This window comes from Homo sapiens, chromosome 13 (assembly GCF_000001405.40).
Source record: "Homo sapiens chromosome 13, GRCh38.p14 Primary Assembly".
Taxonomy (NCBI): Eukaryota; Metazoa; Chordata; class Mammalia; order Primates; family Hominidae; genus Homo; species Homo sapiens.
In genome coordinates this window covers 41,714,090-41,737,360 of record NC_000013.11, presented here as the reverse complement: position 1 = coordinate 41,737,360, position 23,271 = coordinate 41,714,090, and the positions used below count along the sequence as shown (strand labels likewise).

General features: G+C 34.8%; 1 protein-coding gene across 2 annotated transcripts in view; it reads left to right on the top strand.

The window, feature by feature from the left end:
* The window catches only part of VWA8 (von Willebrand factor A domain containing 8), a 394,275-nt gene that overhangs the window by 223,749 nt on the left and 147,255 nt on the right, over window positions 1–23,271 (top strand). Inside the window, exons 22-26 of one of the 2 annotated variants that reach the window (NM_015058.2) lie at window positions 5,206–5,281; window positions 7,684–7,819; window positions 10,048–10,167; window positions 15,786–15,991; window positions 17,619–17,770. In NM_015058.2, the coding sequence (NP_055873.1) occupies window positions 5,206–5,281; window positions 7,684–7,819; window positions 10,048–10,167; window positions 15,786–15,991; window positions 17,619–17,770 (690 nt within the window). Of the gene's footprint in view, window positions 1–5,205; window positions 5,282–7,683; window positions 7,820–10,047; window positions 10,168–15,785; window positions 15,992–17,618; window positions 18,025–23,271 lie in introns of those variants that run through there. The other variant, NM_001009814.2, reaches the window with a different exon arrangement.

Genomic DNA, 23,271 nt, shown 5'->3' with positions numbered 1-23,271 from the left:
ATTTTATTAGTGATAATTCTTTTTAGTCCTCTTTATCTTTATTTCATTACTCATTTTAAAATAGGTCTTGTGAAAGTTATGTTCTTGATACCAAGAACTCATCTTCACTTGAAAAATATCTTTTGACAGCATTTACTTCTCTCAGTCAATGATGTTAGGCTTATGTCTTACTGGTAAAAATTGCCATTTAATTCTCTTTTCATAATTAAACTTCTGTTTGAAATGTTGAGCAGCTGGGCATGGTGGCTCACGCCTTTAATCCCAGCATTTTGGGAGGCTGAGGTGGGTGGATCACCTGAGGTCGGGAGTTCAAGACCAGCCTGGCCTGGTAGAGATGGTGAATACAAAAATCAGCCAAGTGTGGTGGTGCATGCCTCTAATCCCACCTCTTCTGGAGGCTGAGGCAGGAGAATCACTTGAACCTGGGAAGCGGAGGTTGCAGCGAGCCAAGATCATGCCATTGCGCTCCAGCATAGGTGACAAAGCGAGACTCTGTCAAAAAAAAAAAAAAAAAAAGAAAAGAAAAAATATCGAGCAAACATTTTTTCAGTGCTGTCTTTGTTCCATATTCTGTCTTTCCTTTCTCATGTTTGGCTCGTATTATTGCGTGGACCATTCCTATAGGCATTTCTGTTTTAATGAACTATAAAGACAGAGAAGATTTTCATCAGCTCTTATGAAACTCTTATGTGTCTTCTTTCTTCCTTTACTCTTATGTTTAACTATTATTGTTTTTCTTAAAAAATCTAACTATAAATCAGTTAAGATACAACTTATTAAAATATCATCCTTAAAGTAAACATCGCTATTTTGAGATCTTCTGCTCCTCAATAAATTAGAAGATACTAACTTAATGTACCTTTATAAGCAATATTTCAGAACAGATTGTGCTTGCTCTCTAGAGGCCAGTTTTCTTTCCTTATTTTGATAAAAACTTGGTCTTTACACAATTTAATTGCTTTTATTACATGTGGAATAATTTTAAATTACTATTGAAATATAACTCTAATTTTTAAAAAGACTTTAAAGTGCCAAAGTTAAGAATAGAGTTTAGTACAATATTTCTTTGAGCAGCGCCTTTATTGACACAGGCTTTAGTTGATAGATGCTGTAGTCTGTAAGATAGTAAAAAGTGAGAACAGTGATAACATAAATGTCAACACTTAGCTGAACATTCTAATTAATTCATCAAGTATTACTGATAAATGTCTTGTACTGGAAAGACATCTCTTTTTTAAGCTTTAGGCTAAGAACATGTAACTAAAATGTGTTTTAAGTTTTCTTCTCCCTAGTATTGCTGTGACACTAAATTTTCATTAGCTTACATTTCAAAGGTGTTTTTGAGAGGAACAATTCACAAGAGGATTGAAGTTGCAAGAAATAAAATATTCTCTTAGGGTCATTGTTTATTTGTGTGGAGAATTAATCTTCTTATCCAAGTTGCTCATAAATGCAGAGCAATTATTTTAATCAAGCACCCTCTGAAAAAGAAATACTATATTGTCTTTAAGAGTCAGTTTATGCTACCTGTAACAACAGTAGTCACCTTATTACTTAATAATTTAAAGTTTGTAATTTTATAGTATATCTTGGAAATCAAGCGTTTTTTCTTATTGTATTAAGTCTTATGCAGACAATAGTGGATTATTTCCCACTTACATAATGAGGGTAACTTACTGAAACATAAACCTACTAATTTCTTAAGTTAAATATTATTTTACATATTTTACTAGCCTTTGCTTTTTTTATGTACTAGATGAAGGGGCTAATTATAAGAGCAGAACAAAACCACATTTATCCTATGAATTTCTCTTTCTCACATACTACTCCACTAAAAGCCACGTTTCCCATTTGCATTTATTCTCATTTTAGTCTCCTTTGGAAATCATCTGATTTGTGCTTGTTTTCTCAAACCTGTGATTTTTATTTCTGGCACAGAAGTCTTTTGAGAAATCTAATTTGACAAGTTGTATGCTATCAGAATTCGAGTGTTACAGAGCAACTTCATTTTCTTTTTAAAATTAGAATTCAGGTTTAATTTACTTTTCTTAATCTGCTATGAAGCACAATAATTATTAAGGTAACAACTGAATTTCCTTTCTACTAATAATGATGGAAGAGTTCCTTTTTCTTTTTGGTGCTGGAAGATGACATGTTATTGCCCATTAAATATGTGAAAGCTGAGATGAGAAATTCATTATATTACTATAACAATCTGTGTGAACACATCTATTTCCCTTCCTCATCCACCCCCTTCTCTATTGCTAGAATATTAACAATTAATATAAGTAAGTTTAATTAAACTTTGTTCTTGATTTGTTTAAAACTTTAACAATTAATTTGTTAGCAAAAAAATAACATATGCCCTGCAGTAAGTTTATAAAACCCGTAAATACAGAAAATAGATATATGACAATCCATGTGTTATATAGGGATCGTTTTATTCATACTAAAAGTTTATAATCACCAATAACTTGCCACAATGTATTTTTCACTTTCCCTATCATCCCACAGGGCTTTATCTTTAGACACAATTTAATTTGTTTTTTAGAGAAGATAAACAAAATTAGATTCTTTGTAAAGTGTAGTGCTAGGGCCATAAGAAGCAGTAGATTATGGGGGCAGGTGCCCGGCCCAGGAGAGCCAGGATTATGGTGATGGGAGTTGGTTAGGAATCAGGAACAGCAATAGGTCAGAATCCCAGAGAATTAACTGAAGAAACTGTTTGCTCAAGTTAGAAGGAGAAGCTTTCCAAGTTGGAGGCAAATAAGGCAAATAGTCTACAAATTGTAAATGTCAATAATTGTATTGCCAGCGTACCTGTTCAAGCTCCGTAAATGAGGACTCTGATGGGGAAGGTACGTACTGCAACCATAAGTTCCAATTCAACTCCATCTTGGACATAAACCATCAACTCCTCAGTCCCTTGACTAGTCAACCCCATGCATACCTTCTCAACATGACTGTACTTTCTAATACAGACCTACAGATGCATTCCTTAGAATGCACCATTTGTTTTTTTTTAGACGGAGTCTCGCTCTGTCACCCAGGCTGGACTGCCGTGGTGCTATCTCAGCTCACTGCAACCCCCGCCTCCCAGGTTCAAGTGATTCTCCTGTCTCAGCCTCCTGAGTAGCTGGGATTACAGGCACGTGCCACCACTCCTGGCTAATTTTTGTATTTTTAGTAGAGCTGGAGTTTCACCACGTTGGTCAAGCTGGTCTCGAACTTCTGACCTCGTGATCTGCCTGCCTCAGCCTCACAAAGTGCCGGGATTACAGGCTTCAGCCACTGCACCCGGCCATAATGTACCATTTCTTACCCGTAAGAGAATTAGACTTACTCTGACCCAACATTTACTAGAGTAGGTTCCAGATTCTCTGTTTAAAAACAAAATCCAATGATCTGATAAATTTGAAAGTCCATGTGTTTTATCCTGCACTATAAACTACATCGTTGACTTTTACTTTTTCATATATTTTGTTTATTTCATTCATTCAACAAATATTTATAGAATTCCTCCAGTGAGCCAGACATGTTCTAGGTGGGGGACAGAATGAGGGACAGTGTGGACATGTTCTGTACTCTTAGATCTTACAGTCTGTGTGGGAAGATAGTAAAATAAGTACTTGCAGTATAGTGTGTTAAGGGCCGAATTGGGGGATATATGGGTCACAAGGGGAACACATAGCAGGGGCACCTAAGCTGCTCTACAAAAGGTCAGGGAAGGGATCTTTCAAGAAGCACCATCTCTGCTAAAAAACTGAAGATCAAGTGAAAGGTAGGCAGGCAAGGAACTTTCAGTCACAGCAACAACAATAGTGACAACAAATATCTAAAGCTGGTATGTAATTACACCCCTGCTATCTGCCAGATACGGCGTTATACACTTTCCAAGTGTTCTATCAGCAATCCTTTTGGGTGGGTTTTATTACTTACCCACAATCACATGGCCAATAAGGGGCAAAAACAAGAATTTGAATCCTGATTGATATGACTCCAAGGTCTTCTTTGCACTACTCCACAGCTGCCTCTCAAAGCAATTAGCTGATTTTTATTATATTTCTTCTACTAAAAGCAAAACAGTTATTTGATGACGTTAAGTTTATCTTGTATTTTATTGTCAAGTGCTATTTATTCCTTTTTAAAAAACAGATACACATTTTACAATTTTAATAGATTGTAGTAAAGTTTGGCATTTGGTGTACATTTCACAAGTATAACGTCCAGGTCTGAATATCACTGTCCAGTAGTGTCTTATACATAGTAGATAGTCAAAACAACACAATTGCAACTTTGTGCTTTACTTTGAGTAAGAAGTAGGGTAGTTTGAAAAAATAGCTGAACTCTTCAAAGACGCTACTTATATTTTTAAAGTAGTTCTAATTCTCTATGGGAAATAATCTTAGATAGAAGGCAAAGATACAAAATTGATCCCCTTAAAAATATCTGACCCTACATATCACCTGCAACTTTCTTACACACATTTTGGCAAGAATATCCACACTTGATGTGAATGTTACATCTCATCATGTAAGGAGGTTCTTAACATCAGGATAGCCAACTGTTAATATTTTTGAAGATCCTGATCTAAAGGAGGGTCAAGTAAATAGTAAAAAGTAGATTTAAGAAATATAATGGATTGCCTTAATGCCAGCAGAAATGTTCAAAATCCCATAAAGTAATTCTTGAGTATTCTTGGCAAGCGGTGTGATAGTCTGGCTTTGGCACCTAGTGATGGCAGTTTGGGCCTGAATGTGTAATTACTAGATTTGCTTTAATTGTCCATGTCAGCATGCCAATCATTACCAAACTTGCCATCAAAATTATATTTAAACAACATAAATATTATATAATACATATATATATATATATTTTTTAGTTTCTCGTCTTCACCCTCAGGTGGTAATTTTGAGGTGTGAAGTGGTTACAAGACATATTACCAGAAAGAAAAACAGAAGTAAAGAATCTGGATAATCTATAAGTCTGGATTAATTCTCAAATTCTTTGTAATTTATACTGTATTAAGTCTACAAAGTATTGTTACTCAAATAAATTTCACTTGCTGTTTTTTTTTGGTGGGGGAAGGGGAAGCAGGATGATGAACAAAAATCTTTTAAAAAATGCACCTGTGCTGTATTTTTATCATGATCAATCATCAGCTTATTTCCTTCCTAACTATAAAATGTGTTGGTTTTACTTTAGGGATACCACAGTACAAACTCTTACGCTTCAGCCTTCGGTTAAAGACGGACTTATTGTATATGAAGACTCACCTTTGGTTAGTAACCTAATCATAGAAATATTTTCAAGTGTATTTTTGTATCATAGTTGTATTTCAGTTTTTGGAGGATGGAACTCTCATGGATTACGTATTAGTCTGTTTTCATGCTGCTTATAAAGACATACCTGAGACGGGGTAATTTATAAAGAAAAAGGTTTAATGGACTCACAGTTCTACGTGGCTCTGGAGGCCTCACCATCACGGTGGAAGGTGAGAGGCATGTCTCACATGGCAGCAGGCAAGAGAGAATGAGAACCAAGCAATGGGGTTTCCCCTCGTAAAACCATCAGATCTTGTGAGACTTATTCATTACCACAAGAACAGTATGGGGGAAACTGCCCCCATGATTCAGTTATCTCCCACCGGGTCCCTCCCACTGGGTCCCTCTTTTGAATTATGGGAGCTACAATTCAAGATGAGATTTGGGTGGGGACACAGCCAAACCGTATCAGATTCTAATACGTTTCAGCCTAACTGGAAAGCATTCATTCATGTTCATTTTAGGAGAGGATATATGCAAATTATTGGGAGGATAACATGTTTTCCTATTTTGTTCTTCTCTCTTCAGAGTGAGAGATTTAGAGAATGACAGCAATCCTCTATTGATTTCTATTCCAGATTTTTTTTTAAAGTTTACTATCATTTTCAAATGTATAGAGTTTGAAAATAGGTAAGGTTTCTAGAAAAGTTTTTTTAAATGGTTCTAATTAATAAAATATTAGCCAAGTGTTTTAGACAGCTGGGAAGATCCAGTCCTCAACTTCCTACACAAGACCTAAAGAAATCTCAGCCTGCCAGGCATGTCCCTCTGCGCACATGACACCTTTGCAGTAATGGCACAAATAAGTCATCATGTGAACCTCTGTGGTCCAGACCCCAGGGAGTGGAGTCTTTAGGATCTCCTGCTTGAGTTCTCCCAGGTTGGGCCTGTCTTTCCCTGAACAAAGACAGGGTTGAGGATAGAAGCTACATGTTTTCTTTTTTTAAATTCAGTTTTTTTAATCCTAAAATTTATTTATTTTATTTTATTTTTTTATTTTTTATTTTTTTATGTTTTTATTATTATTATACTTTAAGTTTTAGGGTATATGTGCACAATGTGCAGGTTAGTTTACATATGTATACATGTGCCATGCTGGTGTGCTGTACCCATTAACTCATCATTTAGCATTAGGTATATCTTAAAAAAGAAATTTCTTATAAGTTTTTTAAAAATATGGTTTAAAATAATTGTGGTAGAAGGAATGCCCATTTCTTAATCTGTGTTTTCTTAAAATATACCATCCTATGAGAAAAATTAGGATATGGTCCACTTTACATTATATTTCTTACTATTTTTTTAAAAATCTTGAGATTTTCACTTAAATTCATTGGATATCTTCTTTTATCCACCCCTCAAAAATGTTTTTAAGAGTTTTCTCTAGCTTTCATCTTTCTTTTCATGATGTCACCATCAACCCAGTCACCTTAAACCTAAGACTTATTTTTCCTTTTTCCTCTTCCCACCTAAGCAGTTGCCAAGACTATAGATTCTGTCCCTACAAAACCTTCAAATCAATCTAATGCCTTTTATTTCCATTTTTTCATACCTCCCTCAAATCAGATTCCCAAACCACTTTTTGGCCAAACTATTCCGCATATTGTCACCAGATTAAATGTCCTGAAGTGTAGCTCCAAGCTCCACTTCTGTCATGTGTGAACTCATAACCATTAAATTGCATCCCATTACTTAATGAGGCAGTACCTATTTCTTGGTCTGACAGTTAAACCCTTAGTGGTAGACACCCAGTCTACCCTTCCAGTCACTTTTCTCACATTTAACTTCTAATTCAGCCAGCATAGACTGTTCATAGTCACTCATTTCTAGATATGCCCCAGGATTTCTTGAGTTTGACCATTGATTCTCTTTGTCTTGAGTAACTACCTTTTCTCCACTATCCATTTGGGTCTATTAAAATTGTATACTCTTTTAAGAGCTTTAACAAATTCAGTGTTCTAATATCCACAGTGATTGTGATGTCTCACTCCTCATAACTCCCATGGCACTTTCTCTATTTGTTATGCTTGTTTTACATCTCTCCTACTCTTGGGTGTGAGATGTTGTTGGGTATCACTACCATGGGAATAATTTTAATACTAAAATGAAATAAAAAGATAACTGTAGAGTTGGCAGTTTAGCTACATGAAGCTTTTGGTAGAAATCCCAAAATTTTGTTTCCAGCTCTGCTATAGATGTGTGTGTGTGTGTGTGTGTGTGTGTGTGTGTGTGTGTGTGTGTCTACGTGTATACTTGTAACTTAAATAAAGCCAGCTGTTATAAGTCCAAAGCAGTAAGTAATGAAGTTTTAATAATGGCTGTCTTCATTTAATTGTTTATGATAAATTTTCTGTCGTCAAAGGTTAAAGCAGTAAAGTTGGGTCATATTCTGGTAGTAGATGAGGCTGACAAAGCTCCAACAAATGTCACGTGTATTTTAAAAACTCTAGTAGAAAATGGAGAAATGATTCTAGCAGATGGAAGACGCATTGTTGCAAGTGAGTATTTTAGAAAGCAATGTTTCCTTTAATAAATACAATGTTTATATCTCTGTATCAAATCACAAACTTAGCTGCCTACTTATTTACAATAATAAGCATAAGTTCAATATGACTTAAGTTGCCTGTATTGACAATCATTTATAAAAATTAATACATCTGAATCTAGCTTTGTCAGTTTTACTTTTACCCACCAAGCATCTTTGAAATTTTTAGTAGTAGTATTAGGACAAATCAACTTTGTATTTTTCTACTCTGACATACCAACGTATAACCCTTGTACTCATCTCCCAATTATTTGTGTATGATTTTTTTTTCAATTTGCTCATTATAATAAAAAAAGCTGGACTTTTTATTTTATATGTACACATATATGTGGTGAATACGTGTGTATATATAAAGACATGTATATTACACACACACTCCTACCTTAGGAAGAAGTTATCCTCTGTTTTTTATTGTCTCCTGCCCCCCTCCCACACACACCCTTTTTGTTGTTATTGTTAGGAAAAAAATGAAGATAGATTAATCTTGTCAGTGTATTTAAACTACAAGGAACAATTAAGTTTGATGCAATGTAAGAACATTTTCTAATTTCACATTTAAAATGTTTGTGTCCTGAAAGGACTTGAAAATCTATAACTAGCCATTGAAAATATATAGCCAACCAGAGTAACCAAACAAGTTGAGACTAATAACTAAAATCTTCAATATTCAAAGAGAGTATGTAAGGAGAACCCCATTAAAAAGGTACAAGTGCATCACCACAGAGATGTTCTGCAACAGCATCATTGCAAGATTGCCATTTCTGAGTATGAGCTTAGCACTAATAAAAGCATTCTAATATTTCAGTTTCACAATGAATTTATGTGAAAAATTAGAATTTGAGTTACCCTGAATACTTTCTCTTAAAAAAAAAAAAAGATCATTCAGACCCTCAGAATTCTGCCTGCCCTTATGAGGCATTATGAGGACAGTGAAATGGAAAAGAAGAAAGAATTGCTGAAACACAGTTGTAGTTAAGAAATAATTATCTCCTGGCAACCCTCTACATTCTCTGATATGTTTTTGAGGAATAGTCATTATAATTTTACACTCAAATATGATTGTAGCTGACATTTTGAACAAGAGCACTTGCAGCTCTTTTGAATGTAGTTTCATGAACCATCACTTGTAGGGTTATATTTTTCATTTTCTTTACTTTTTAAATTTTTCATTTTTTATTGTCATTTTTGTTTTGATTAATTGATTAAATTTTGCCTGTAGCCACATACCCTTGTTATTTTCCACTACTAAGATTAATGGGGATCACAGTTAAAACTATTGGTTGTATTGGTGTACATGAATATGTACATGCTGAAAGATTACTTTTTGGTATCATAAAAAAATGAGAGTAGGCTCTTCCAAACTCATCTCAAATAAAGCTGTAGGTACTTCACAACTATCATTTTTTAAAGATGGGCAACTTAAGGGTGGGGTTTAAATAAATTCAGATAGCAAGTGGTTCTTCCTGAAATAACCATAATAAAACTTGTACTATCTTAAATTATTTTCTGGACTTGCAATTCTATCTGAAATGTACACTAGCCAGTAGAAATACCTTTCACATTTACACAAAGAAGCCCCAGTCAACTTAAGATCACTTATTTTAAGAACTATGGTACAATCCCATGACTGGAAATAAATCAACATTGTACTAATGAGTTGACTAGGTTTTTAAGACCTTTATTCTATTAATATGTATTTAGTTTTCAGGGTGCGTGATCTAAACAGGAATAACTCCTTAGCTGCATAATGGCAGGCTCTATGCAAAAGGATGAGGTTACTGATTTGATAAAAACTAAAGAACTTATCCTTTAGCTATTCCTTGGATTCTCCCTTATTATGGATTTCTATTTTTAATTTTTTTAAGGACTAAAAACATCTCAAGCCAGGCTTAAGTACTGTAAGTCTACATTTGGACAAGGTTGCTTTTTTTTAGATGTACTCTGAAGGTATATAAGAGTGCAAGTCCCTGTACAATTTAGTATATGCTTTATCAGTGTTTGGTTCTTGAGCAAATTTTTTCAAGAAAGTTTTTGTTTCTGCAACCAAGTTATCACAGCCAAATATCTTAGAGCTTTTTACAATTGAACAGTATAACTATTTATGTTATCTAAAAGATTGTTGCTTGATATTTTTAAGAATTATTAAATATTGATAAAGAATAAACAAATTTTGTTTTTCAGATTCTGCTAATGTGAATGGAAGAGAAAATGTTGTAGTGATTCATCCTGATTTTAGGATGATTGTTCTGGCAAATAGACCTGGATTTCCTTTCCTAGGCAATGATTTCTTCGGTACCTTAGGTAAAAACAGTAATGATAATAACAATACCAATAGCAGTAATAATAATATTAGTAACACTGCTGTAATGGCTGTCATTGAATGCTTATCATGTGCTGTGCCACCATCATAATCACCTTGTGAGAATATTTATTATCCCCCTTTTAGTGAAGAAAAATATCTGATATTCAGAGAGGTTTTTGTTTTGTTTTGTTTTTTTCCGAGATGGAGTCTCGCTCTGTCACCCAGACTGGAGTGCAGTGGCATGATCTCGGCCCACTACAACTTCCGCCACCCGGGTTCAAGCGATTCTTCTGCTTCAGCCTCCCCAGTAGTAGGGATTACAGGCATGTACCACTGAGCCTGGTTAATTTTTGTATTTTTAGTAGAGATGGGGTTTCACCATGTTGGCCAGGCTGGTCTCGAACTCCTGACCTCATGTGATCCACCTGCCTCGGCTTCCCAAAGTGCTGAGATTGCAGATGTGAGCCACCATGCCCGGCCCAGAGAGATTATTTTTTGATAGTGTCTGGGATAATGAGTGGTGGACTTGGGCTTCATATCTAAGTCTATCTGATCCCAGAGTCTTTTTTCTTAAACCATTACACTATACTTTGTTGTTTAGGACCTCTTGGAATAAAACACAGAATAAAAAATGGTTTTACTTTTGTCACATCCCCCTAACCATGAAAAAGATTGAGGTCAGCTCTGAGGAGACTGATTCACATTGATTGGAGAGGCCCTGGGATAAACTTACTCATCAAAAGTCTTTAAGAAGGACTTCTCTTCTCTATAGCAAGTATATAATTCTGGACTCTCACACTCAATGTGAAGCAGACCCAGTCTCTCAGTGGGATCTTTGATCTAGCAATTACCCAAAAAGGAATTTATCCAAGGAATTTACCTATACAATGTTTAAGTACAAGGATAGGCACTATAGCATTGTTTATAGTAGAAAGAATGGAAACAACCCTAATATCCATCTAAATGGGACTGGATAAAGAAATTTTTTTGTATCCACACAATAGAATGCTATGCAGTTGTTTAAAAAAAGAGAATAAGTTTACTGATGCTGATAGAAAAAAAAAATCAATACTCAAAATAGTAATTGAAACAATAAGTAAGTAAAGTGGGTATAGTAGTTTACCCGTTCATATGTTTTGGAAAAGGCAGGAGGGATGTGTACATGCATATGCTTGTATATGCATAGAATTTCTTCAGAAAGGTCCACAAGAATCTGATAAGGCATTGTTTGCAATGGAAGTTAGGGATGGGAATATAAAATACTCAGTTATACTATTTTTGTAGTTTTTATTATGTGCAGATAATACCTTAAAAGTTACTAACAATTCATAGATTACTGATGCACTTAGAGATGTAATAATGTAAACACACCAAAGAAAAGTTGTTTCTAATTGTAAAGAGGTTTGAGTTCTTTTTATGTTTGTAGGTCACCCCTTATACCCCAAGCCACTCCTTATCACATTTATTTTAATGCCTGTAAGAATACTCACTCCCTGTTCTGTCTCCATCTTCCATCCACCTCCAAATCCTAAAACATATGTGCCATCTGCTCTTGTTTTGTCATCTACCCCTATTCATCCTTGTCACTTCTTATTGATCTTTAGCCCTTTACTCGCTTTCATTCTCTCCAACCCTACTCTTCTTTTGGAGTGATTGCAGTATACACATATGTGACCCTTCCCACTCTCTGGCCTCTTGGCTCCTTGGATATTTTTATTCCAGCAGTCTTATCTTATACCATATCTTAGACATTCATGGCTAGTTTCTACGACTGACACTTCTGTAATTTCCGTTTCATATTCTGTCCTCAATTGTCCTTGGGATTTTTATCTCATCTATGCATTCACCACCTCCAGTCTTTCCAGTTACTCCCTCTACTACACCAAATCCAATAACTCTTCAAATGTATGAGAAGCTTCAATCCATTGATCCTACCACCTTTTCACCTACCCACCTTGATATATTTTCTTCTCCTTTACCCAGCCTTTTTTTTTCTTACCCAGCTTCAATTCCATGATCTTTCACATTTATGACTCCCTTACATATATTATTCTTCAGCTTCCCTTTTCCTCTCTTAGCTTGTCCTATGCACTTGGAACCCCTCTGCCCTTGAGAGGGAGAGAGTTGGTTACTGCCAACTCTCTAACAACATTGAACCTACACATGTGCAGCTGAATGTGGTTAGAAAAAGCCCAAAACTGACCAATCTCATTTCAGATTCTTAACAATGGGCCTCAAGTGTCCCTAAATGCAGTCACACCGTGCTTCGGTAGACCTTTCACTTTCCTGTTCTCCTAGGGTAATTCATATCTTCTCTCTCCTCGCAGCTCCAACACTGCTGCATGAATTTCTTTTTGTTTTAAAATTATACAATACTTGAACATTCACTTACTGCAAGAGATTGAAATATAGAAGGGCTTATGGAGGGGAAAGGGAAATTCTCTTTCATTTTCCCACCAGTCTCATTCCTTCCCCATTGCTAACCAGGATTCAGTTTACTGACTTTCTTTTAGATTTCTGTTATTTTCTCCTGTCTTCCTACTGCACTGAGAAAAACGAAAGCAATTAAAAACAAATGTCCACAGACTCCTACAACCAAGTCTTCCACCTATGATGCCCTGCTTTCCCACTTGTTGCAGGTAAACTGTTCACATTCCCATCTAGAGGGAGTCCCTCCAGATGAGCACCAGATCCCGCCTTTTGAAGGTTGCTGCTCTAGCTGTTCTGCCCTCCCTCTCCTGTATCAGCAGCTTCCCTCTCCTTACATTATTCCCATCTGCAATCAGGCTATTTCCTTCATCTTCAAAACACACACACACACAAACCTCTTAATCTTACTCTTTTTGCGATCTATTGCTACTTTTTTCTTCTCCTTTGTAACAAAATTCCTCACAGTCATTTGTACTCAAAAGAGTTGTCTACACTTGCTATCTCCGTTTCTTCTGTACCATCCTCACTTAATTCCATTCTAATCAGATTTTTGCTCCCATTACTCCACAGAAACTGTTCTTATCTAGGTCATTAGTGACTTTTCTATTGCTAAATCCAGTGGTTGATTCTTAGTCCTCATCGTACTGAATCTACCAGCAGTATTTAATATAGTATATAGTTGATACAGTTAGTCACTCTCTTCTCCTTGATGCATTTTCCTTCACTTGACTTACAATACTTCTTCAAGTATGTTCTTGGTTTCTTACCTTAATAACTATTCCTGCTCAGCCTTATTTGTTGGAGCTTGTTAGAATGTCCCAAGGCTCAGGCCCTGGTTCTCTTACCTATCTATACTCATTCCTTTAATAAAATCAGAATGTGTCATGTTTTAGACTACCAATTATATGCCTGTTATTGCCAAATATTCATCTCCAACCCAGACCTTCCTCCTGAACTTCACACTCATATCCAGCTTCCAGTTCAATAGCTCCTGTATCTCGAATTTAACATGTCCATGATGAACTTTTTTTTCTTAAACCTGATTAATTTATAGTCTTTTGTAAATCTCTGTTAATGACAACTCCAAATTCATTTTTTGTTTCTCTCTTTCTCTTATGCTCTTTTCCAAATATCCTGCAATCTTATTGGCTATACCCTCGAAATATATTCAGAATTATCTTACTTTCCCCATCACTTCCATTTGCCACCATTATGATCTGAGCCACCATCGTCTCTTACCTGGATTACTTCAAATAGTCCCCTAATGGGTCGCCCTGCTTCCAGCCTTATTCTTTGTTATGAACTGTGAAAGATCTAAGAGTTTACTCTACTTTTAAGCTAACAAGTTAGCCTGCCACAGAAGGCTTTCATGGCAGAAGACACTAGACTCCTGAGTCACAGACAAAAGAGGAATGATTATTCAGCAAAAGCAGTAGTCAAAGTACCAGCATTTGTGTTGGTTCCTCAAGCCCCACTTCCCACAGGGCAACAGAAAGAGGGCCAAATGATACCTGCACTTATAGTGAGATGCCTTATAGAAGAGGAACCCAGAGCTTAGGTAACCCAAATTACCTTCTTACAAAGAAAGAAAGAGAGAGAGACAGAGAGAGAGAATATGTTTTCCAAGGCTGCACTGTTTGCTCTTCAGATATTCTTGGAAATACAGTCAATGTGGTCAGTGCCTCTGCTCACAAGATATTTATCTTCCTACACCCTTTTGTGGTGTGTTCACAGCACAGTAGTCCACGCCTCTGCTAAAATCCTCCATGGCTTCCCATTGTATTCTGAGTAGAGGTACAAGTATTTACAACAGTTTGCAGTGTCCTACACAGTATGTCTCCCACATCCTCCTATGTCTGTAACCTCGTGTCCTGTACTGCTTGGTGCTGCTCTATCCACTTCCTCTATTCCATCCACTCTGCTCTCCTGCCTCTTCCTTCCATATGCCAGGTATGCCTGCCTTAAGTTCTTTGGATTAGCTGTACCAGCTGCCTGGAATGCTCTTCCCCCAGGTATCAACATTTGCTCAGATATTACCTTCTCATGAGGTTTACCTGACTGACCTCCCCCAGCATCACCATTTCTACTGTCCTAATTAATCATTATTTGATGAGTAAATGAATGAGGGGTCAATTGTCTTTTTATGTTAGTGATAGGTTTTATTTTCAGCAAAAAAGGCAAAAGCCATTCTTCACCTTTGTATTTGAAAAGCTTTAGTATATGAGATAAAATTTTGAAGATATCATGGCTTTCATTTTATTCAATTGCTTTTAAATACACACATACAAAATAACTGTTCAAATGGTTCCTAAATCAAAGTAAGATCTTATTGCTACCTTACTAGATATCCTCATTTTCTAAAATGAACATATTAAATAATGTAAGTCTATTTACTTTTACTTCATTTGATCCCTGGTCTCTTAGATTATGAATCAATAGAATTATTTTTCTAGTACATTCTCATTTCCCTAAATTACAGATGAAATATTATTATGTTTCTACATTCCTTTTCTTGATTTTAATTCAGACAATGTCTCTACAGGTTTACTCTACCAAAACTAACCTCTAAAGTATATTCTATCAATCTGCACAAGATACAAATTTTTTAGAGAGTGATGCTACTAATTCTCCCTTTTTTAGTACATAAAGAAGCATTTATATGAGATAGATGTATATAATTTTTGAAGATACTCAACATTTGTTGAAGTTAAAAAGGCCGTCTCAGAACCATTTGAAATATATATTCCCATTAATAGAAAAGGAATAAATTATCTAAACTCTGTTTGCATGTATGCATTTTTTTAAAAAAAGTGCTAATACAGGTCTGGAAAAATAAATGCGCTAAACATTAAGACTCAGTGCTTTTTGGGGAGGGAGTGGCATTGGCATAGACTTAAAGGAGAATTTTTTTTCCTCTTTGTATTGGAATATCTCCCGGTGAGCATGTATTCAAGTATTATGTAAGTTTTTTAACAAAAATAAATTCGTGGAGATAAACCATCCATCACCCAGTTTTCTTTTCTTTTGCTTCAGTCTTTTGCTTTCTTCTCTGTACCATCCTATTGTTGGATGGGCTTTCTATGCTTTGATGAGCAACCAGTGGCTCTTTAAACAACCATTCCATTTTTTCCTGTGACATCGTAATGGATTTGTTGCATACTGAATGTGAATCTTTTCTCTCCTTTAGGTGATATTTTTAGCTGCCATGCAGTTGATAACCCCAAACCCCACTCGGAGCTCGAGATGCTCAGACAGTATGGACCAAATGTGCCTGAGCCCATCCTTCAGAAGCTTGTGGCTGCCTTTGGAGAGCTGAGGAGTTTGGCTGACCAAGGGATTATTAACTATCCTTATTCTACCAGAGAAGTTGTCAACATAGTCAAACATTTACAGGTAGGTATGGCACACACCTGTACCTAAGAGCCATCACTCTCTTTTTTATTTTTTCAGACTGTACAGTTTGTACCAGAGTTTTTAATTTCCATAAATACAATAATGAGTCAGATTACATGATTTGAAATGTGTATAATCTAAGTTATAAATATGGTAGGCCAATGAACATTATTATCTGTTCAGCTTTTGAATTAACTTTGGCAAAGTCTGTAATCATTACCAAGGAGTTAGGAAATTTGGTGGGAGGCTGTTAGAGGGCAGGTGAAGCAAGAGAGTGAGTCAGTGGGGAAACCTTCCTGTTCTGTTCTTTGGCTTTTTACAACAAGCATGTGGTATGCAGGTAAAAAATATTTTCATTTTGAAGCAAATCACATGGAGACAACAGTAAACAGAGTAGGAACTAACCGTACTGATTAAATACCTGTAAATACCGCAAGGAAGTTTCACAAGATAGAGTAGGCAGGAGAATGAAATTTCCTGCGACCATGTACAATGTGTACTCCACCTTAGTAAAGAAAACAAACAAATAAAAAATAATATAAATCTTACTTACAGAACAAATAAGGGTCTCCAAGCTAACAGTCACAACCCAACAACTCTTGACCTCTGCCTTATCCCCAACCCTCCAAGAAAACCCTAGAAAGAAAAGTAGAAAGGTGGGGCAGGGAGAATACACACAGGGGAAGATGTTGATCCAAGGATACAAAGTTCCAGTTAGACAGGAGAAATAAGTTTTTGAGATCTATTGCACAGCCTGGTAACTATAGTTAATATCAATGTAATGTATATTTTGAAATTGCTGAGAAAGTAGATTTTAAGTAATGGTTGTACCATAAATAAAGGTGTGTTAAATGATAGATATATTAATTAGTGTGATTTAACCATTCTGTAAGGCATACATACATTGGAATATCACATTGTACCCCATAAATATATACAGTTATTATTTGTCAATTAAAAATATATGGAAAGAAATCAAGATTAAAAATAACAGCTTTGTTCTGCCTATAAAACCGTAAGTCCAATTCAGCCAGCTCAGAACCCATCACCTAAAGAAAATCAAAGCAGACCCAGGAAAGGACTCAGAGGACATGAGCAGTGTAAATTCAGTTGTAGTCATACTTGTTTTCTTGCCCTCTACTGCTCCCTGTTTCTCTGTTGTTTGCACTTTTTATGTTCTTTCCTTCTTTTCTTGTTGCTTTATCTTTTCTTCTTCATTTATTCATAGACTGACTTTTCTGAAAACTTCAGTATAGATATTTAACACGCTCCTTTACATAACTAGCATTTTTAAACTGTTCGATCTGGTACTCATATTAAAGGCAGGAGATTTCAGAAAGCAGTGGCAATCACTGACACCAGGATCTAGGCACTGCTCTAACATTTGAGAGGAGGAACTCTTTCCCCTCAAATTCTGGCATTTATTTAAAAAGGAAAATATTGTTAAGTCATCTGAGCAAACACTGAAAGGGAAAAATGTCTACATTCCTACTACCTGCTTATTTGACAAGGCCAGTAAATTTCTGCTGTAGTTCATTTGATCATTATTGTCCTATCCATTTCATAAATCTTTATAATGTTGTATATTTTATCACATGCATAATAAGGGAATTTTTTTTTAATACAGAAATTTCCGACTGAAGGTCTCTCCAGTGTAGTTCGAAATGTGTTTGACTTTGATTCCTACAACAATGACATGAGGGAGATATTGATTAACACTTTACACAAATACGGGATACCTATCGGAGCAAAGCCTACCAGTGTGCAGCTGGCAAAGGAGTAAGGCAAATTCAGTACTCTTCTGATTCTTAAATGCTGATAGTTCTTGATTTATCATTCCATTCTACAAAACTGAGTTGCTATGGAAATTACTTTCCATGAGTAAGCTTTTCAAATACATGTATATGTTGCTGTTTGCTGGCTGCTTTTCAGTTAAATAGCATTATTTATAGGCCTGTAAATTGAAAATTTTGATTATTATGTATGTCCCATGAGTAGATGTAATAAATAAAGGGAAATATTTGTTTCTTTAACAGTCTCAGTCCTTTTGTTGAATTACTATGCGTATTACTATTTCGTATAATCCAGTGCACATCATTGTACGAGCATGAAAATCACATAGAGATAATGTACATTTAGTTGATATGTTCTTATTTCTGTTACTATATAGTTTTCTTTATGATAATTTTCTAAATTTATGATCATGTTAACTAGAGAGATTTTTGGTTACTTATGTCAGCTTCATAGATGAAAGAGGTAGTAAGAACTAGTGGGTTTATTTCATGTGAGCTAGTTGCCTACCCTTTATTTTATAATCATAGGCTACTACTTAATGTTAGTTAAGAATCTTGCACATATGGTGTTGATCAGAAAAGTAATTGACAGAGTTTTTTAGTAGAGTAATTAAGTCAGCACAAATTCACTAGAAAATAGTTTTCAATATGCCTAACTTATTGATAATGCATCTAATACCATCTTTGTCTATAAAAATAGTTAATTATAAATTCATAGGGGATAATAATCACTTTTAAATTACTGTTCAATTTTAGCCCCAAAAGGAGACACTATCTTTCTGTAGAAAAAAATGTGTTAAATATAAATATAAATCACTGATTATATATTAAATATAAATCAGTGATTAGCAAAAAAAGTTGCATATATATATATATATAATCTCCAAAGTGTATACTCATCCATATTTATTGATTCTTTGAAGTCATTATAAAAACTTGTCAGGATATATGCCAATAGAAATAAATTATTAAAGTATCAGGAATTTCTAAAAGAGAAACAAATATTTCCCTTCTGTGTTAAAAGAATAAGATGGACTTATCTTAGAAATTATATTATCCGTGCATTGGTTTATATTATTAATGAATAAGTAAATTATTTTCCAGAAGAATGACTGGGTGGCAGTTGCAAATGCACACTTTTTTTTGGCACAATGCTATTTTACTGATGGATTAGCAGTCCTTATGGGCATTTGAAACTAGGTCAGTAATTTAATGGGTATAACAAATTGTCTGTATAAGAGAGTTCAAGAGATCCTCTTTAATATGCAAACTTTCTATTATAAATTTTCTTTAATATGCAAACTTAAGTTATTTACTTCGTTTTTGTAAACTCCCTTTATTTTTAGCTGGAAATAAGATGGCTTTTATTACCATTAACAAATTTATATAATTAGAGTACTGGCTTTATGGAAACTAAGCTCATGATTTTAAAACAATTTCTTTTTCTACTCTTGCATGACTATAAATAAAAATTAAAATACATATTAATTGGTAAGGTTAATCATGATAAAATTTTTACTTATAAAGCAATTTTAGTTTCTAAGGAAGAAACTAAAAATGGTTTAACTTATTCATTGTCATCCTCAGTTCTAAACAGAAAAATTATTGCTATGGCAAGTTAATTCTAACTCTAGTACTTTTGAGTAGAAGCAGAAGTACTTTGAGCCTGGAAACAAGTTGGTCACACTCTTGCATTACAAGGGGATAGAAACAACTAGTTGTCCCCCAACCGCATATAGCTAGAAATAGACTTAAGCAGATGTGAAGGAAGAGTGAATTTTCCTTTTAGAAGGAGATCAGAGTAGGCTATAATTTCCACAGTCATTCAGAGCAATTTTTTCCTCATCTGTTAATTGCAATAACTTAGGCTGCTCAAAAGTAGTGTTGTTTTATTGCCCTTCTTGAAATTCACAGGTTCCGTAGCAATTTCTATCAAATTATCAGCCTTGTACTTAGAGAGAGTAGGATGACAAAGTGTAGCAATTTCTATCAAATTATCAGCCTTGTACTTAGAGAGAGTAGGATGACAAAGTGAACAAAGTAATGGCCTGGGAATTTAGCAGTTAGTCATATGTTCACCTGTCTACCTGGATCAGCCATGGAGAAACAGATGACAAGACAGAATCCTGCCCTCAAAGAGCTCACCATTCCATTTTGGTCATTTGAATTTAGAGAAGTTACTTAACTAATTCTCTATTGGTACAGAGGGCCTTTTCTTATACATAGCATATCTATTTGATTTTTAAAAATATTTTAAAATATTTGAATATTTAAATATTCAAATATTTAAAAATATTAAGGAAGTACACTGGGAGAAATTATTTTTAAAAATATTTGATTTACCATCTAAATCAGGACATTTTTGAGAAAGGCAGGGGGAGCTATTGACAATAATTCTGTAAAAAGAGTGTAAAATAAGACTGCCCTGGCCAGGCCAGAATATGCAATTATCTTCATTGTGGATCATCAGTAAGGTTCCTTTCTATTCTAACATCCTTTGAATTTTAATATAATCTTAATGTTTATCTCATCTGCAAAAACAAACATAAAAATATGTGATACTAACACTTTTCATTCCCCCTTTCCACCCCTGCCCCCCAAGTAGTGTACTGTTGATGGTAATCACATAGACCGCCAAAAAGTTAGTCTTCCCCATGCAGTCTTTGATTTCACTTTGACTTTTCTAGACCTTTTGCTAAACCAGTTCTTGTAGGCTGCTTCTACCCAGCTCTGCAGCTACTGTTAGTGGGGAAGATACACATTGGATTTCAGTTCCTAAGGAAGAAGGATAAAATGGTTTAATACTATTAGTATCTTTTTGCCCTGAATGAACAGTTCTTGCTACAACTTAATTTTCATGTTCTCTAATCCAACCGCAGTGCTTATTGATGGGAGTAAAGTTACACTGAAACTAGAACAAGATGATCATACCCACACTCAGGATGGGGATGGAAAGATAATTGGCCACCCACTACATATAGCTAAAAAGAGATATAAGTCAGATGTTTTAGAAGGGGGAATTTTTTTACAAGGGCCAAGATAATGCTAAACCACTATTTGTGTAGCTATCTACAGCACCTTCTTCCTCAACTGAAATCAGAATATACTTGTCTGTTCAGTAGCGGTGATGTTATTTTTGTGTTCTTTGGCAAAATTCCCAAAAGAGAGATGCTGTCACTTTCCCTTTTGTTCTCCTAAAGAGTGCAGTGATGTTATCTATCTCACAGGTTTCTGCACATTTTTTAAAGGCCCAATGTGATGAGGTGAATTTAACTTGTCTTCTTTAATAAACTTTTGCTAAACCTGGTATTTTTAGACTGAGTCTTATTGGGTGGTTATTTTATTTTACTTGATCCTGCCATAATGGAGCTCTTCTTCCTTATCTGCAAATATATTCCCAGACCTTAGTACCAGGATCAGAATTGGCTACCTAGACCCCACCCACCCACTGCATTTGCCCCTTTCCACTAGTACTTCCTGAGATTTGTTATTGCTCCTCTTTTAAGTTTCTAATACATGGGACAGGACATGCCAAGAGAAGGCAAACATAACCAAATAAGGAAGTATACGGGAGAAAGTATTTTTAAAAATATGAATACTATGCTTTATATGGGGGTTGAATTTAATTCTGTGACATTTGTCCTATAGAGAAACAACTGTATGTCATCTATGAATCAAGAAAAGATGATCATCCCCACACTCAAGATGGGGATTTGGCCTATAGAGAAACAAGACAATTGATGCTATATGTGTGTGTTGCATGTACTAATGTCATTTTGTCAGTATTGTAGGGAGAGATAGGAGGATTTATGTTAAAATTGAAACTCTTGAATTTTAAATGTTGTTATTGGAAATATCTTTGTAACATATATATTTTAAGAGAATTAGGTCCAAACATCCAACCAAAGGCATAGATTATCTGCTATACTTCAGTATAGACAACTATAAATATAAACTTTAAAGCAAAGTTTGCCTGTTTTTTCCTCAAGTGAACTTTTATGTCTGAACTTTCTTTTATTTGGGAATAAACATACTGCTAGCACATTAGCACTTCCAAATTAAAAAGTGTGTTTCAGAATAATTTATGAAATCTGCTATACTGGGAAAACATTTGTTTTAAAGAAAGAAAAAAATGCTATCTTTTTCATGAGATTTCCATTTTAAGAAACTTATACACTATTTTATCTTAAATTTATATGTCGCTCTAACTTTCCAGTTCTTAAGATGAGAAAATTGTCATTTCATAGATCAACAATGAAATGTAAATACTTCTAAATATAATTATAACAACAACAATGTTATGATTATATTTCATAATAATGGTAATAATGATGGTAGTACAATAATATTGATGATGGTAATAGAAACATTTATAGATAACTACGTACCAGACATATTTCCAAGCACTTTCTTTACATAAATGTATATAATTCTCCCAACGGACCTATGGCATATATATAATATTATTGCATCTTGTAGATGAGGAATTTGAGGCACAGAGAAGTTATGTAACTTGCTGGAGGTTAGAAAGCAGGGGTACAGCTGGGCTATATGTAATATTAATTCCAATTCTAAGGATGATATAAACAGATTGATATGTAGATTGCAGGGAATTTCTAGATCAGAGTAGTTATTTAGATACTGAAAATTATCAATAGTTTTGGCTTAAAAGGACCTTGGGATTTTAAGTAACCAACTTGGAACTCATCATTGACCGTGATGTCATGTACATACAATATACAAATTCTTATTCTTCAAGGAATTATAACAGATTCAGATGCTTGGATTTTAGCCATAGTTCAAAGTGAAGAGTAACCACGAAGCAGATAAATAGAGACTTTTGGCACAACAGAGATCATTTTGGAGACCTCTTCATTCTCATTTAAGTTTCCTTTTCTTGTGACATATGGAGGATCAAAAAATAAAACACAAGGTGATTCACTTAGAAAAATAAAAACCTTAGAAAACTTTGTATGACTACCTTATATAAGAAGTATACTAGCCATCATTTCTTCTTGATTTGGAACACAAAAGAAATTTATAGACTTCTCAAAGATTGTGGTAATTTTTTAAATAAGCATACAGAGAAATTGTCTCTATCCTCTGAAGTTACCTTCATGTGTTTTTCTCTCCCTGCCTTCTCTAGGAGACACACATTCTATAAAATACTTAAATGTTCATTCTCTCTGCTCCAAGTTCTTTGCCCTTAATTCTGTTGATTTCTTTTTTAATGCTACTTACTTGATGTTAAACTACTTACTTCATATTAAGCTACTTTTCCTCCCAGAGCATTCAATGCCTATTTGTCACTAGCAAACTAGCTATTATTTAACAAACATCCATTTCTATCAGTCAAATAGAAAAAAAAACTAAGGAAATTAAAAAGTTTTTTAGATGTTGGCTTTCTTTATGATGATATTTACTAAATGAAGAATGGCATCCCATTTATTTTTAAAATTAATCAGCAAAAAGAAAATAAAAACTCCT